The 14224-nt window shown below is 42.1% G+C and overlaps 1 protein-coding gene across 11 annotated transcripts in view; it reads right to left on the bottom strand.

Moving 5' to 3' along the window:
- Positions 1 to 14224, bottom strand: part of MYO3B (myosin IIIB) — a 477021-nt gene that overhangs the window by 146564 nt on the left and 316233 nt on the right. For 8 of the 11 annotated variants that reach the window (NR_045682.2, NR_045683.2, NM_138995.5 and 5 more), the window contains 3 exons: positions 9901 to 10012; positions 8796 to 8958; positions 6739 to 6819 (listed from right to left, as the gene is read on the bottom strand). Coding sequence is in view for 8 of the 11 variants with exons in the window: in NM_138995.5 (NP_620482.3) it covers positions 6739 to 6819; positions 8796 to 8958; positions 9901 to 10012 (356 nt within the window). In the remaining 3 variants the exon portion in view is untranslated. The remainder of the gene's footprint in view (positions 1 to 6738; positions 6820 to 8795; positions 8959 to 9900; positions 10013 to 14224) is intronic. The other 3 variants (NR_045684.2, NM_001083615.4, XM_011510655.4) reach the window with 1 other exon arrangement.

The following is a 14224-nucleotide window of genomic DNA, read 5'->3' as shown; positions in this document are numbered from 1 at the left end:
CCAGTGTTTAAACTTGCAGAACACATAAGGGAGACACAACTTATTTAACTCTCTGTGCTCCTGGTTCCTCTGTTAAGAGGTAAAACAAAGCCTGCCTTTCTATTTCCAAGAGTCTTTTGAAGAAAAATAGCATGATCATTCTTGCCACAGCCCAGTTAGCTTTCCCCTAAACGTTTCTTTACTATTGTGTAGTTACAGTCTAAACAACTAATAAAAGTTATAAAATGTGATAACATATTTTATGATTCTACATGAAATTGTTTTAAAGACATAGAGTAAAGGCAACTCAAGTGTGTAATCGATCATAATAATGTTGTTTCATTCTGTGTTGAGGTGGCAAAGATACCTTTTCAGGCACCACTTCTTTGCAGCTAGACTCTGGAATGCTAAACAAGGTTCATAATGGAGAAAACTGATTCCAGATTGTAGGCTCTAACCCTGGCGTCCTCTGAAGTTATAATATCGAGTCCTAGGGGTACCTACTGTTGCACAAAAGTTTCATCTTAAGCATACTTGTGCCATGCCGGTATGATATTGGGCACAAGTGGACCTCCAGCCCACAATGACTTTGCAGCTTCCTCTCTGTGCATTAGGTAAACAGTATTCTGCCCTCTGGCTTATTTAATCCTAGCATGGGCAATAATTTTATTCCATAGCAAAGGAGATTCCTGTGCATTCCAAGCTATGCCATGACAAAAATTCTATCGTTTGTGCCAAAGAGAGATTTGGCAGAGCTCATTTCTTGTCAGAAACCTCGAAACCACAGGCCATCCTGTCTCTGTACTACACCACTTGCTCTAAGCCTTGTCACAGACAAGGTATGTTTTCCTCAAGTAAACCACAATGCTTTCCCCCTAGACATTTCCCCCTACAAGATATGTTAAGCCTGCAGCTGTCAGAAATCAGCCCCAGGCCAGGCACAGTAGCTCACGCCTGTAATCCCAGCACTTTGGGAGGCTGAGGCGTGCGGATCACTTGAGGTCAGGAGTTTGAGACCAGCCTGACCAATGTGGTGAAACCCCATCTCTACTAATAAAAGAGCTGGGTGTGGTGGTGCATGTCTGTAATCCTAGCTACTTGGGAGGCTGAGGCAGGAGAATCCCTTGAACTCAGGAAGGGGAGATTGCAGTGAGCCAAGAACGCACCATTGCACCCCAGCCTGGGTGACAGAGTGAGACTCCATCTCAAAAAAAAGAAAAAGAAAAAGAAAGAAAGAAAGCCCCACTTTCTCAAGTATGGGAGAGCTAGGGAAACCAAGATAGCATGAGAGTGAAGTGAGCAGGACCCCTCGCCTAGGACTGAAGGGCATCCTGTCTTGTGTTAAACAAAGGTTTAGAAGATGGGGGGGTAGGCGGATGGGGAGGGCTAGTTTGCAGTTCACAGTGCATCTCAAGCTCAGGTGCACCAGGTAAATTATTTCCCCCAGATGTTTTATTGCTATTCTGTGGATATGTGGATACGGAAAACACCAGGAAAAGAGAAGCAGCTGCCTCCTGCCCTACGGCCAAGAAGAGTTTGGATCTTGTCTTCTCTCACACCTGTGCTTCCTCTGATAAAGACAGTGAGTTTGAAGAATTTAGCTTTTGTGTGAAATGACCAGGGATCTAAGAAATAGAAATGAAATGAGTGAAGAAAAAGTGAAATAGAGGTAGAACTACAAATAGAGACACAGAAAAGAGTGACAGAGGGCATGCTTGTTTTCCTTCTGTTTGTTCAAAATGGACCTTTTCTTTCAATGGTGCATTTACTTACAGTCCCCCTCTTGTTTGGCTTGGGATCAACAATCTACTTATGTACAGCTTTAGCAGGATGAAAAATATCTACTACAGTCATTTTTACCTTCAAGAAGCATGGGTCATTTCAATGCATACACTTGGCTGTGTTTTATAATAATTTGTACTCTTTGTATTGTTTTAGATTTTACAGAGCTCCATTCCAAAGAGCGTTGGCAAAATACAGAGTACTTGATTTATTCAAACAGCATCCCTTTGAGGGAAAGCATATTTTAGAGTGCTCTGTATTGGAGTTGGATAATTTGAAGCCCCAAATTAAATCTCATTGTTTACCGTGGGAGCCCCAGCATAAAGTAGGTGCTTAACAAATAGTAGTTAAGTAAGTGAATGAAAGAAATATCCCAGTTTAAATATAGTTGTCCTGCACACGTAGGCAAATAGCGGGAAATTTAGTTCTAGGAAATTACAACCACCTAATCATTGCCAACCCACTGATGATGCTAAAGGAAACAGCCTTTTAAACAGCCTTTTGAAAAGGCTAGGAGAAAACCTTGCACTGAAAGAGTTTAAAAGTTCAGGCAGTTTTATACACCAAAAACTTGGTTCTGTTACAAAGTAGGGTCAGGCTGTCTGGATACGATGTTTGCTTTCTCTTCTGGTAGCAGCATTTAAAGCAACTCTGCTCTGCATGCATCACATGATGTGCCCAGTGGTTCCCAGCTGCAGTGGCTTAAAATGCCTGTTCACAGGCTCAAGGAAGGCACCCTGCCAGCCTCGTCAGAGTCTCTGCTGATGCTGGGAAAAGCACTCTCCCCAAAGAGCATCAGAAGAGAAATGGCCGTCACTGTTAGAGCTATTGTTATCTTGTGATAACATCTGTGTTTTTGGCAGGGCCAAGGAGGGGAGTATGTAGGAAGCTGATCCAACAACAGAGAGAAAGAGAAAATAACAATTTCCACAGCACTGAAGCAATTAGATGAAAATGTCCTGTAAACTAGCGTCTCTTCCGACTCCTGTGCGTGTGTGTGGGGAGAAGCAGTGAGGTGCTGGAAGACCACTCCTCCTGGGAGAAGGTTCCAGCCCCTAGGGCTCCACTGTCACCTATTCAAAGGGCATTTCTCCTTTGAGAGAGGGAGGCCCACAACTTTGCTCTCATCTAAAACACATATCCTGAATTAGAGGGGCAGTTTTAAAGCCAGAGCTTTAGAAAAATTAATGAATGAGATATTACATGTAGGTCTTTAATAAAGTTCCCTGCAGTTAGTTTGTTTTGATAATTTTCACTGAGGAATGTAAGCTTTTTTTGGTTGAATAAATGTAGTTAGGTCCAATTTCTGAAACATAAGGTAATTTAAAAATATAACAGATTAGTAATGGAATCAAGGTCACTGTTAGTTTTTACTTAGAATACACCATCTATTTGAACACTAATATGTACAATTTTTTTCGGATTTTAACAAAGTATGTATTTTAATTATTTGGCATTTAAAGGAATGTGTTTTCCTGTGGCAAGAACCCATTGTCAGAATTAACCAGTACAAAAAACAATGAAACATGCCACTTCTTGCCAAGGTGATATGCAGAGTTGCTTCCCACCTCCCTCAGCCCCGCAGAAAAGAAACTGATAGACAATACCTTTGCTCAGGCTCCTTTACTTTCTCTTCCTCTCCCCTCTCCCCTCTCCCCCCTACATCTCATAAAGGCCCTTTATTGACTGTGCAGTGTTATACACATAGGAAATGTATCCTTGTGTACCCAGGGTATTTTTTTTCCGTTTGTTTTCTCTTCCAGCATTTGATTACTGGCTGGTGAACTGTTTGGGCCCGCAGAGATCTCTAGACCACCAGCTCATGTATTTGAAAGGCATCTGTTTATTTTGAAAATGCAAATGTGGCCTACCTCAAAGACTGACAGGCAAGAAATGACCCACTGAGTTGGGGGAGAGGTTTCCAATCTGGAGCCCTGTCCCTCCCTCGATCACACCAAGACCACTGGCTGTCAGAATCACTGAAACCTGCTCCTGGAATCTGAATGAAGGGCCCACAATTAAAAACGAGCAATAATTAGCCAGGCAGATTATTTCTCACCCAGTTGAAAGTAATGATGAGGACATTTACCAAGGACTCTGAGGCTTTGAAATGGTGGCTCCTAGACCGAGGGCTGCCTGGAGGAGGGCCCGATAACAAGGACACAGAGTTCCTAATGGTGGCCGCCCAGTCCTTATGAGGAGAAAGCCTGGGAAGGTTAATACCCTGACTTTGATCTCTGTCAAGGCATACCAGCAAGAATTAATTTACATTTCAGATGAAAAAGGTTGACAGCATGAAAAGGCATCTTGTTTCTGGTATGTGAATGTGCCGTAATAGATCGGGAATTCTGAAAGGAAGTTCTGAGGAAGCTAAAGGGATAAGCCGCACGGCTGCTTTTATTGGGAAGGAGATGAAAGGAAAACAAATTTCAATATGTGCTGCCCTGTAGCAACATGTAGGCCAAATGCTTCCTAAATTTCAAGGGCCGCTCTTTTAAAAATATATAACATATCTTAGCAACACCACTTAAGAAAATACTATGGGCCAGAACTAGAAATACAAATGCATTCCACAGAATCTAAATTTCAAATGAAATGATTTGTTGAAAAAATAATAAATTAGAGAATAACCTTAGAAAACAACCGGAAATGGTTGTGCTGTGACAACATCCCTAAGCCACTTCCTGCAGGCTCCTAAAGCGGGGAGCCACTGTATCTGGGTCTGGTTCTACTAGGAAATGTCCTAGTGGGACGAAGAGAGGCTTGTAATGAGATTATGTTTGGGGAAGATCACAACCCCAAACAGAAACGTCGGAATGAGTTGCTTTGCTTCTTAGATAAACGCAATTATGCCTTCAAATCTAAAGATAAGGAAAATATTCCCAAGTAAAAGTAAACTGCCCATAAAATTGCAAAGATTGCTACCCTATTCATGCATCTTTACCACCAACACAAAACCAGCGCACCAATTCCTGTCCACGGTGTTGGCTAAAGGGCAGATGCTGTCTGCCTTTGCTCTGGCTGCCACACTACTTCTAAGAGGGCAGAGGTGGTGTTGGTGCCACCTTCATGCCCATCTAAGCCCCTGCAGACTCAGTTAATGGAAGTTCCCAACATCACTTGATAGGCAAGAACACTTTGGCTGCAAGGCTAAGAAAGGGGAGGTGCTTGCAAGGCTAAAAAAAAAAAAGGACGGCACCCTTAAAGAAATGTGTTTTCTAAAGTCCTGCTGGGTGCTTGCAAGGCTAAAAAAAAGGAAGGCACCTTAATGTGTTTTCTAAAGTCCTGCTGGGTGCTTGCAAGGCTAAAAAAAAGGAAGGCACCTTAATGTGTTTTCTAAAGTCCTGCTGGGTGCTTGCAAGGCTAAAAAAAAAAAAAAAAAAGGGAGACACCCTTAAAGAAACATGCTTTTTAAAGTTTCGCTGAGCAACATTATCCTTCCATGGTAGCTACCCCATAGGTGCTCCACTGAAAAGATACAATTATTACTATCCTGATCCATGATGATGAAGCAGACCCATTTCTGTTTTACAGCAGTATTCACTTGGCATTAACAGAGTGCAAGACAGGGAGCACTCAAAAGATGACTTTCACTTAGGGAAAATTGGATTTATGATTCCTGTATACTGAACTCAGTGGATCAACAATAAATAAGCTCAAGCAAGTTTAAATTTTAAAACACATGTTGGCCTTTGTACCAAACTGCAAGATCAGAAATCAGTTTGGTACCCTGTTTTAATGAGAGATTGTGTGCGTGTTGGGAGGCAGGCAAGTAGGGAACAAATGATGCACTTTGAGTTCTCTCTTAAGCTGTAACAAGAATTGCATCCCTCTTCCTGGGGCTTTGAAGTTGTAGAGCTTAGAATTCCTAGGAGATGGTGTTAAAAGTTAACATTTGCATTTTAATAGCACTCTTTCCGCCCAACTATTTTCGTTTTGAATGAAGACATCAGGCTTCTACAGTGGTCTAAGAGTTCTGAGAAGTTTACTTGGAGCCAGGTTCCGAGGAGGGACTTCTTTCAAGAGGTTGCAGCTGTTTTATTTAAGAGTTTCCTTCAAGCTCAGCTGTATGTGAAATCCTATCACTCTCTCTGCTGCTGAGTCTACCAGCCTGGCTATTTCTCTCATTCTGTCTCTAATTTCTTGTGGCTCCTGGAGCTCAGGGGCCTGTTTCTTCCAGAGCCTCGAGTAGGAATATGCAGCTTCAAATGAGGGAAGGAGCCCAGCCTGGCACCCGCACCCACAGTGGACACTGCCATTTGCAGAAGAGCAGAGTGACTGAAGAGCCAGAGAGGGGACGGATGAGTCAGAAACCAGAGCTTACACCTCTCAGGCTGCCAATAGCAAGCCGAGCCATAAAAGCCACCATGTGCTCATGCCATGGGGCCCAGAGGACCATGATAGCCACATATAAGCCTGGATTTGGGAAACAGTTTGCTGGGAAACTCCCTGAGTGATTCCTCCTCTGTGATGCTAAGAAACAGGTCTTGCATATAATTAGAGAATTCCAAAATGGGAAGGCACCTTCTGGACCTTTTTAACCAGCGCTCTCATTTAACAGACGAGGGACATATGACTCCGAGAGGGAAAGGGTTTTGTTCAGGTGGCAGTATGCGATGCTGACTCTATCCAAACGGCCTGTGTTCAAATGCTGGCTCTGCAACTGATGAACTGTGTGATGGTGGACAAGTCCCTTCACTTCTCAGTGCCTCAGTTTCCTCCTCTATAATATCAGGTATACAAGAGAACCCAGTCAGAGCATCCTTAGCCAAGTGTGGCAAACAGCAAATGCTCATGCTCACCGTTAGCATCATAGTTATCACACAAGGAGGGTCAGAACACTAGGACTCCTGTCTCCCAGAACTCTTGACTCATTCCAGTGCTCCTGAATTATTAACCTTTCAGCTTTTCTACATTCACAGAAGTTAGTCACAGAATATTTTCAAGTGGACACTGTGAAAATGATGTTTTAATTACCTGCTTGATTATGAGCAGCAGACTCATTCCTTCTGTTGCTTATTTTCTTAAATTTCCTCCGAGCATCATATCCTCTCCAGGCTAAAAATATAAAACCATGTGCTAGGAATGACATTAATTTAAGAACGTGCCAGAGAATTGATATAAGCTGTTTTCCCCTCCAGCCTATTGCCCGTCTCATCCTCCCTCCTGCTTTCTCACTGAACAAAATAAGCAGAGGTATGTGATCTATGGCGAGAAGAGAGGCCTCTCTGTTCTCACAGCTTGGCTTTAAAGATGCTTCTGAGGGGTTGCTTTTGTTCAGGCAGTGATTTCCAGAACACTCTGGGTTCCACTGATGAATCACATGGGACCCCTACTCCAGGTGAGATGGTTTCCTGTCATTCTAATCCCTGGAGAAAGCCCTGTCTTCAAGACTCGGGGATATGATACAGGTGGAAGGGTTTGGCAGGGATGGTAGAAAGGAACTGGAATAGCCTGACCCTTTCAAAATCTGTTATTTGGGAGAAAAATATAAACAGGAAAGTTGAAGAAGAGAAAGAGCGGAGTTAAGGGAAATGATAAGTAGCACAACACTGTCATTTGCTGTGAGTGAATTCTGTGCCGAGAGGTATGCTGAGGGAGAGGAAAGATGTGCAGTGGGAAGGGAAAAGGCAGGGAAGAAAGGTGAAGAAAAAGAGAGAAAAGAGGAAGGGACTCTCTGGGGCAAAGGTGGTAAGCCCTTTAGATACAAAACTGGGGCATTAAGCCACCCACGAGGAGCATAATGTCTTTGTTCCTCCCGTCTCAGCATCACAACTCTCGAAGTTGCTGGGTGAGCTCATGAAGTCCAAAATAGACTGAGCCACATGAGGATTCTGGGTTATGAGAGCATAAGGGAAATCATCCACTTTGTTCAAGATCTGGTGCTTTCATAATCATTTGTCTATTGCACAGGAACTTAAATGTTGTGTGTAACACTAATAACACATATACGTAAACAAAGAGGCACTGACTAGGCAGGGCACATGAAAGAGATTAGCAACCTCTTCCCTTGGTTTATAAGTTCCATCTGGACTAGAAAAGCCTTCTGGAAATGGCGTTAGTAACTCTGGTACTGAACACCTGACCACAGACCTGAAGTGTATATTATCTCAGTCATTCTGGGAGATGCGGCACATATCTGTGTGACTGGGGCTTTACATCACTGGTCCATTTATACCGCCACTATCTATCCTGTCACTCATGTTGTAAAGACTTGTTTGCTTACCTGCAAGTCAGGGACCATGGCAGTTGTTGGGGCTCAGATAATAATTCTCCAAAATATGCTGCTTTGACTTCAAACTTAGAGCACCTGGGTAGCAGCAAATGCAGGGAAGGGCTTTCTCTGAACTCTCCCTATCTATTAAAGGCAAACTCCTCCAGAAGATATTCAACTGTGTGAATCCCTTCCCCAGATATCTCCTCAACCAGGAGAAACTGATGCATACCCCAGGAAGAAAGACTGGAGTAAATATCACCCAGAGGTCAGATGAACTTTGTCCCAGGCTATTGCCTGTTCCTTAGGCCCATTCATTTCCCTCGTAAACCTTTGAATCTTCCCTTAAAACTATCTACATCCTCCACTTCCCTCTCCCCTATGAAGAGGGTATTTAAGCTTCAACCATCTGGCCTTTGAGTTTCACACTTTTTATGACTTGCATGTTAATAAATTTGTATGTCTTTTCTCCTGTTAACCTGTCTTTCTCAGTTTGTTTTATAGACTCAAATTATCAAATCTTCAGGACACGGAAAGAAAGTTTCTTTCACCCCTACACAGTCTTGCTCATGGCTGTGATTTCAGCACCTGGCACAGAACCTGTGTAGTAGGCACTTGATACACATTTGATACACATTTGCTAAAGGAAGGAAGGAAAGAAGGAAGGAAGGAAGGAAAGAAGGAAGGAAGGAAGGGAGGGAGGGAGGGGAGAAGGAAGGGAGGGAGGGAAACCACTTAGAAGAGAAACAGTTGAGTATTCCCCAGTACTTAATGACATGCCAATACCCAGGGCAGTATTTATGAGAACAGGACCATTTACCTGACTGGATGGCAATGGCTCCCTTCTCTCTCTTCTCTCTGACCCTTTTGTATCTCCTGGCTCCAAGCCACCCCTTGGTATATGCCTGCAGCACAACCACTCTGCCTATGACTTCTCGAAGCAGCAAATTTAATTGCTCAACATGGTAATATTTGAGAAAAACCTGAAACGAGACAGTAGTTTTAGCATTACATATGGGTTCCTCAACAGAAATTCACTCTACTACAGCATATTCTAAATGAAAATATTAAAACAATGATATAAATAAAGTTTATAGCGATGTGACTTATGCTCACATTACTGACTTCATGGAGGTAAATACAATTCTCCTTCTAAGATTGAGCCAATCCTTGATAATTGATGTAAATAGATGATGAGGTCAACAGGGTTTAAGCGATTCCAAATGCTCTCCAGGCCTGTCTCATGTCAGTCAGGAGTTCATTTTCTCAGTTTGAGCTCTATCTACTCTCTTTCCCCATAGCCTCTGATAAAGGTGCTAACCAAGAGGACTGACCCAGCCAACAGTGGAAGTTCAGAGGGTGAGGTACCTAGATGATCCACAGTGATCTAATTTCTGCTGAGGAGGAGCAGTGTTGCCATCGTCACTCAGGCAGAGGCTGGTTTTATAAGGCAATCAGGATGGACCATAAAAACCTGGGATCCTATGGGGACGTGACGTTCTCCCAAATGAAAAGCTACAGATGCTGAGACTAATAATCAGGCTATGCAGCAAATAACATGAGTCCAGTGAAAAAATGGACAAAACTCTACTAGAAACTCATCACTGCCGTTAATATGATTTGTGTATTTACATGTGGTACTGGAATAAGCAGCATTGAGAAAAGAAACGTTTTTAAATGAGCTCAAAGATCTCATTCTAAAAATGCTAAATAGCTCTCAAATTACATACAGAACAGGAGGCAAACCCTCCTCCTCTACTCCCTAACGTCCCCAACCTCTTGACTTAATACCAGCAAAGACCATTGTTACGTTGGAGTCTTGTTTGCTAAGCTACACAACTTACAGAGCCATTCATGCCAGTGACATCACTGACAAGAGACAAAGAAATCATACGGGACAATTTGAACAATAAAGAACGAACTACCTTTGTTTTTCCCAGTACCCAGTGATCTAATCTGGACTTTTCCAAGATAGCCACACAGCTCTCTTTGCTAGCAAGAGGTGTTTGATGTGCTGTGAATGCCAAGTAATAATACCTGCAAAATAAAAGAATTAAGTGAAGCCTTTTCAGTCACCATTTGACTCAGCATAGTAGAATTACTCGGGACCATTGACACACCTTGTTTTTTAATAGTAAATATTTGTCGAGCACCAATAATAGCATAGTAGGTAGTAAAAGATACAAAATTTATACTTATGAACTTGGCTCTTCCCTACTTTCATATGTTCTGCAATGTGTATTTACTTCCCTTTTAATGTTGCTTTGTAATTCATATTCAGTGCATACTTGGTGTCTAGTGCATTCAAAATCAAAATAATCTTTTTAGAAAGCTGAAATTTAGACAACTCTCCTAGTGAAAGTAATACTCCTAAATATTAGTATTACTACTATAAAAAATAAATTCCATTGTATATATTTTGACTCTGCTTTGCAAAGTCCCGTCTAAAGCAATTTGTAGATAGCAGAAGTGATCACAGCCTAACACTACTGATTCTGCTGAGCTATTCATCTTACTCAGCGTATAGAGGAGGTGTATTTTCTTGATATAATCACGAAAACCACATTTGTTTTCTTAAATTACTTCATTTTAGTGAACTTCTAAACTTTCAGATTAAAGAGTTTCAGAGAAGAACACTGTAGTGAAGGAAAAGCATCTTTTTTTTTTTTTTTTTTTTTTTTCTGAGGCAGAATTTCACTCTTGTTGCCCAGGCTAGAGTCCAGTGGCGCCATCTCGGCTCACTGCAACCTCTGCCTCATGGGTTCAAGCGATTCTCCTGCCTCAGCCTCCCGAGTAGCTGGGATTACAAGCGTGAGCCACCTTGCCCAGCCAGGAAAAATATCTTTTCCTCACCCATCCAAGTTCACAGCTGAGGCCCCTAGAACAAGAGACAGATAAACAAGAGAAATGCGTACCAATTCATTTAACGTAAGTTTTAAGTGACACAGGAGCCTTCATGAGGAAATGAAAACCTGAAGAAACAATTAGACTTGTGTATTTCTTTTTTTTTTGAGACTGAGTCTCGCTCTGTTGCCCAGGCTGGAGTGCAGTGGCGCGATCTCAGCTCACTGCAAGCTCTGCCTCCCGGGTTTGCGCCATTCTCCTGCCTCTCAGCGTCCTGAGTAGCTGGGACTACAGGCGCCCGCCACTGTGCCCGGCTAATTTTTTGTATTTTTAGTACAGACAGAGTTTCACCATGTTAGCCAGGAAGGTCTCGATCTCCTGACCTCGTGATCCACCCGCCTTGACCTCCCAAAGTGCTGGGATTACAGGCGTGAGCCACCGCCCCTGGCCTAGACTTGTGTATTTCTATGCCAACTTTGATGAAGAAGTGGATAATTGTGGAGAAACAGAATCGAAAAAATAGTTTATTACCCTAATGGTAATTAACTGAGGAAATTTAGCAAGACCTGTTTGTTCAGATTCTTCTCTGTGTCCCTGTGTCTTCAGAGATACAAATGTTCCTTTTCTCTGGGTATAGGAAGAGTACCTTTCACGTGTGGGTCTTATGACCTGCTTCAGGGCAGAAGGGCAGGAGAACGTGAGAGTGACCTTCCTACCTCTGCTATTTTCTCAAATGCTACAGTGCCATATTTGGGGGTGGTGTGTCCTGAACTCCATCGTTACCAAAAGGGTTTTTTCCTCCCCTTTCCTTTCTTCTCCTTTATTCTCCCTGTTTTTAAAAATATAACTTGTTGAGGCACCAGGCATAGTGGCTCATTCCTATAATCCCAGTACTTTGAGAGGCCAAAGTGGGAGGATCACTTAAGCCCAAGAGTTCGAGACCAGCCTGGACAACATGGCCAAATCCAGTCGCTGCAAAAAATTTAAAAAATTAGCCAGGCATGGTGACATGTGCCTGTAGTCCCAGCTACCTGGGAGGCTTGAGCCCAGAGTTTGGGGCTGCAGTGAGCCATGATCACACCACTGCACTCTAGCCTGGGTGACACAAGGAGATCTTGTCTCAAAATTAAAAAATATACATATATATAAAAATATGTATTATATATATTATATTATACATATATATTATATATAACTTTTTGAATATATTATCCTTTTAGAAAATCTCACCTTAGTTTTTCTTTAGAAAACTTGCAAGGCATTTTTTTCTCTGCTCTTTGCTGCCATCTATAATTTAGTTCAACCCCTTGAAAACTTTGAAATAAACTTAATTTCTTTGTCAAAGGATTTTCCTGCCATTCCTCAAACGAGACTAATCTGATATTTTGAAATTACTTTTAAATATAGAGCTGTTTTTACTTTTTAAAATGTGAAAGATATCCCTCCCCCCTGCCAAATATATCCATATCTTCCTGTTTATGGAAGAATAAGTGTACCTAATTAGTACTTGACTCATTCAACTTTATCTTCCTGCTACAGAATTATTTTGCAAGTTAGGATATAATGCTGAATTTGCTGGAAACATTTGCATTCAGAAACCCTGGGGCTGTTTCCAAGGCTCTGAATCTCTGTTTCCACCTTTGGGGAGGAGGGGCAGTGCTCTCTGAACCTGAACAGTAGCCAAGACCAGATGATGCTAGATCATTTGGCAGAACCCAGGAACCTGCTCATAGCAGATATCTTCCGGAGCTAAGTGGGAGGAGGGAAAGCCAGGAGTCAAGCTTAGACCTTTCTCTGGACAGTTCATGGCATCAGCACAGATTCTTCAGCCCCAGGTTCTCCAGGACTGTAGTTTTGGTTATGATTTCTCTGACTTGGCTTTGGCCACAGCAAAAAGATTGTGTCATGGAGCACATAGGGATGGTGGGAATGGCTGGCAAATCTATTGCGGTGAGAAAAGTCAATGGTAAAATCAGGATTTCCTATACTTTTAGGACCAGCCATTTACAACATGGGTTCCACCGGCTTTAAGTAGCCCAGGCTTGCTTATGGTGAATGCTCAGTGTTACTGGTGATGAAGTATTTAAAGAATCTGATGAATGACCAGCACCTTGAAAGATATAAGAGGAGTGTAAGATATGTTCCAGTTCACCAATCAAAGATTTATACTTATTTTTCGGACATCTGTGGGTGTTTTTTTTTTTAGCAACTGTTAGTTTCTAAATAGGCAGAATGTATTCTGATCATTAATATTAGAACTTAACTTTGATTTTCAGTCCATCAACCAAAACATCTTAATTTATTATGATAATAATATTCATATCTAGCTTAGTTCAGAAAGACATGGGTAACAGTACTATATGTAAACAGGCAGTTTTCAAAATATAGTGAAGAAACATGTAAGTGACATATCTATAGTAATCAAGTAAGAAAAGCATAATATGTTTCCTTCACGGAATAATTTTGGATTCTAGCAGGCACCATGGTGATAAATCACTTTGAGCTCCTGTGTACTTCAATGTAAAGGCTAAGCTGAAAGGAACCAAGCCAAGAGGTCCATCAGGAAGGGAGAGTTTTCTGGAAAGATCCATTTTACCCCTTTCCTGAAGCAGCATGATGAGTTAAGCAAAAGATATGCAACAGCAAAATAATAAATGTAAAAGTCTGTCTTGAGAATCTGCACACTTTAGGGCATTGCAAAAACCAGACTTCCCTGAGCTGCCTCTTCTAAGTAGAATTGATTTTATATATTGGAGTCTGAGCACTGAGTTCAGAGTCAGAAGATCTCTGTCTCTAACTGTGGGTGAGTCACTCACCTCTCTGTACCTAACTTTCCACAGGTGGGAATAGGAACCAGATAAGTGGTTCTTAACTATTATCTTGGGTAGGGAGAAGGACATGGGGCTCAAGGCTCTGTGAAAGTCTGGTAAAAGCTATACAAATTCTATCTTGGAAAATGCTCTTAACACAACACATTGCATACAATGTCAAGAAATCCACGTAACTTCTTTTTCTTTTTTCTTTTTTTTCTTCTTCTTTTTTTTTTTTTTTTTTTTTGAGACGCAGTTTAACTCTGTTGCCCAGGCTGGAGTACAGCGGTGTGATCTGGGGTCTCTGCAACCTCTGCCTCCCAGGTTCAAGTAATTCTCGTGCCTCAGCCTCCTGAGTAGCTGGGATTACAGGCATGTACCACCATACCTGGCTAACCTTTGTATTTTTAGTGGAGACGGGGTTTCACCACATTGGCCAGGCATATCTTGAATTCCTGACCTCAAGTGATCTGCCCGCCTCAGCCTCCCAAAGTGCTGAGATTACAGGCATGAGCCAACGCATCTGGCCCCACATAACTTCTGATGGCCCTCGAGGACCAAAGAACACTGCAGAATTTTATGAAGACATAAATTT

This window comes from Homo sapiens, chromosome 2 (assembly GCF_000001405.40).
Source record: "Homo sapiens chromosome 2, GRCh38.p14 Primary Assembly".
Classification (NCBI taxonomy): domain Eukaryota; kingdom Metazoa; phylum Chordata; class Mammalia; order Primates; family Hominidae; genus Homo; species Homo sapiens.
Note: the sequence above shows the minus strand (reverse complement) of the source record. Positions and strands in the feature narration are given on the sequence as shown.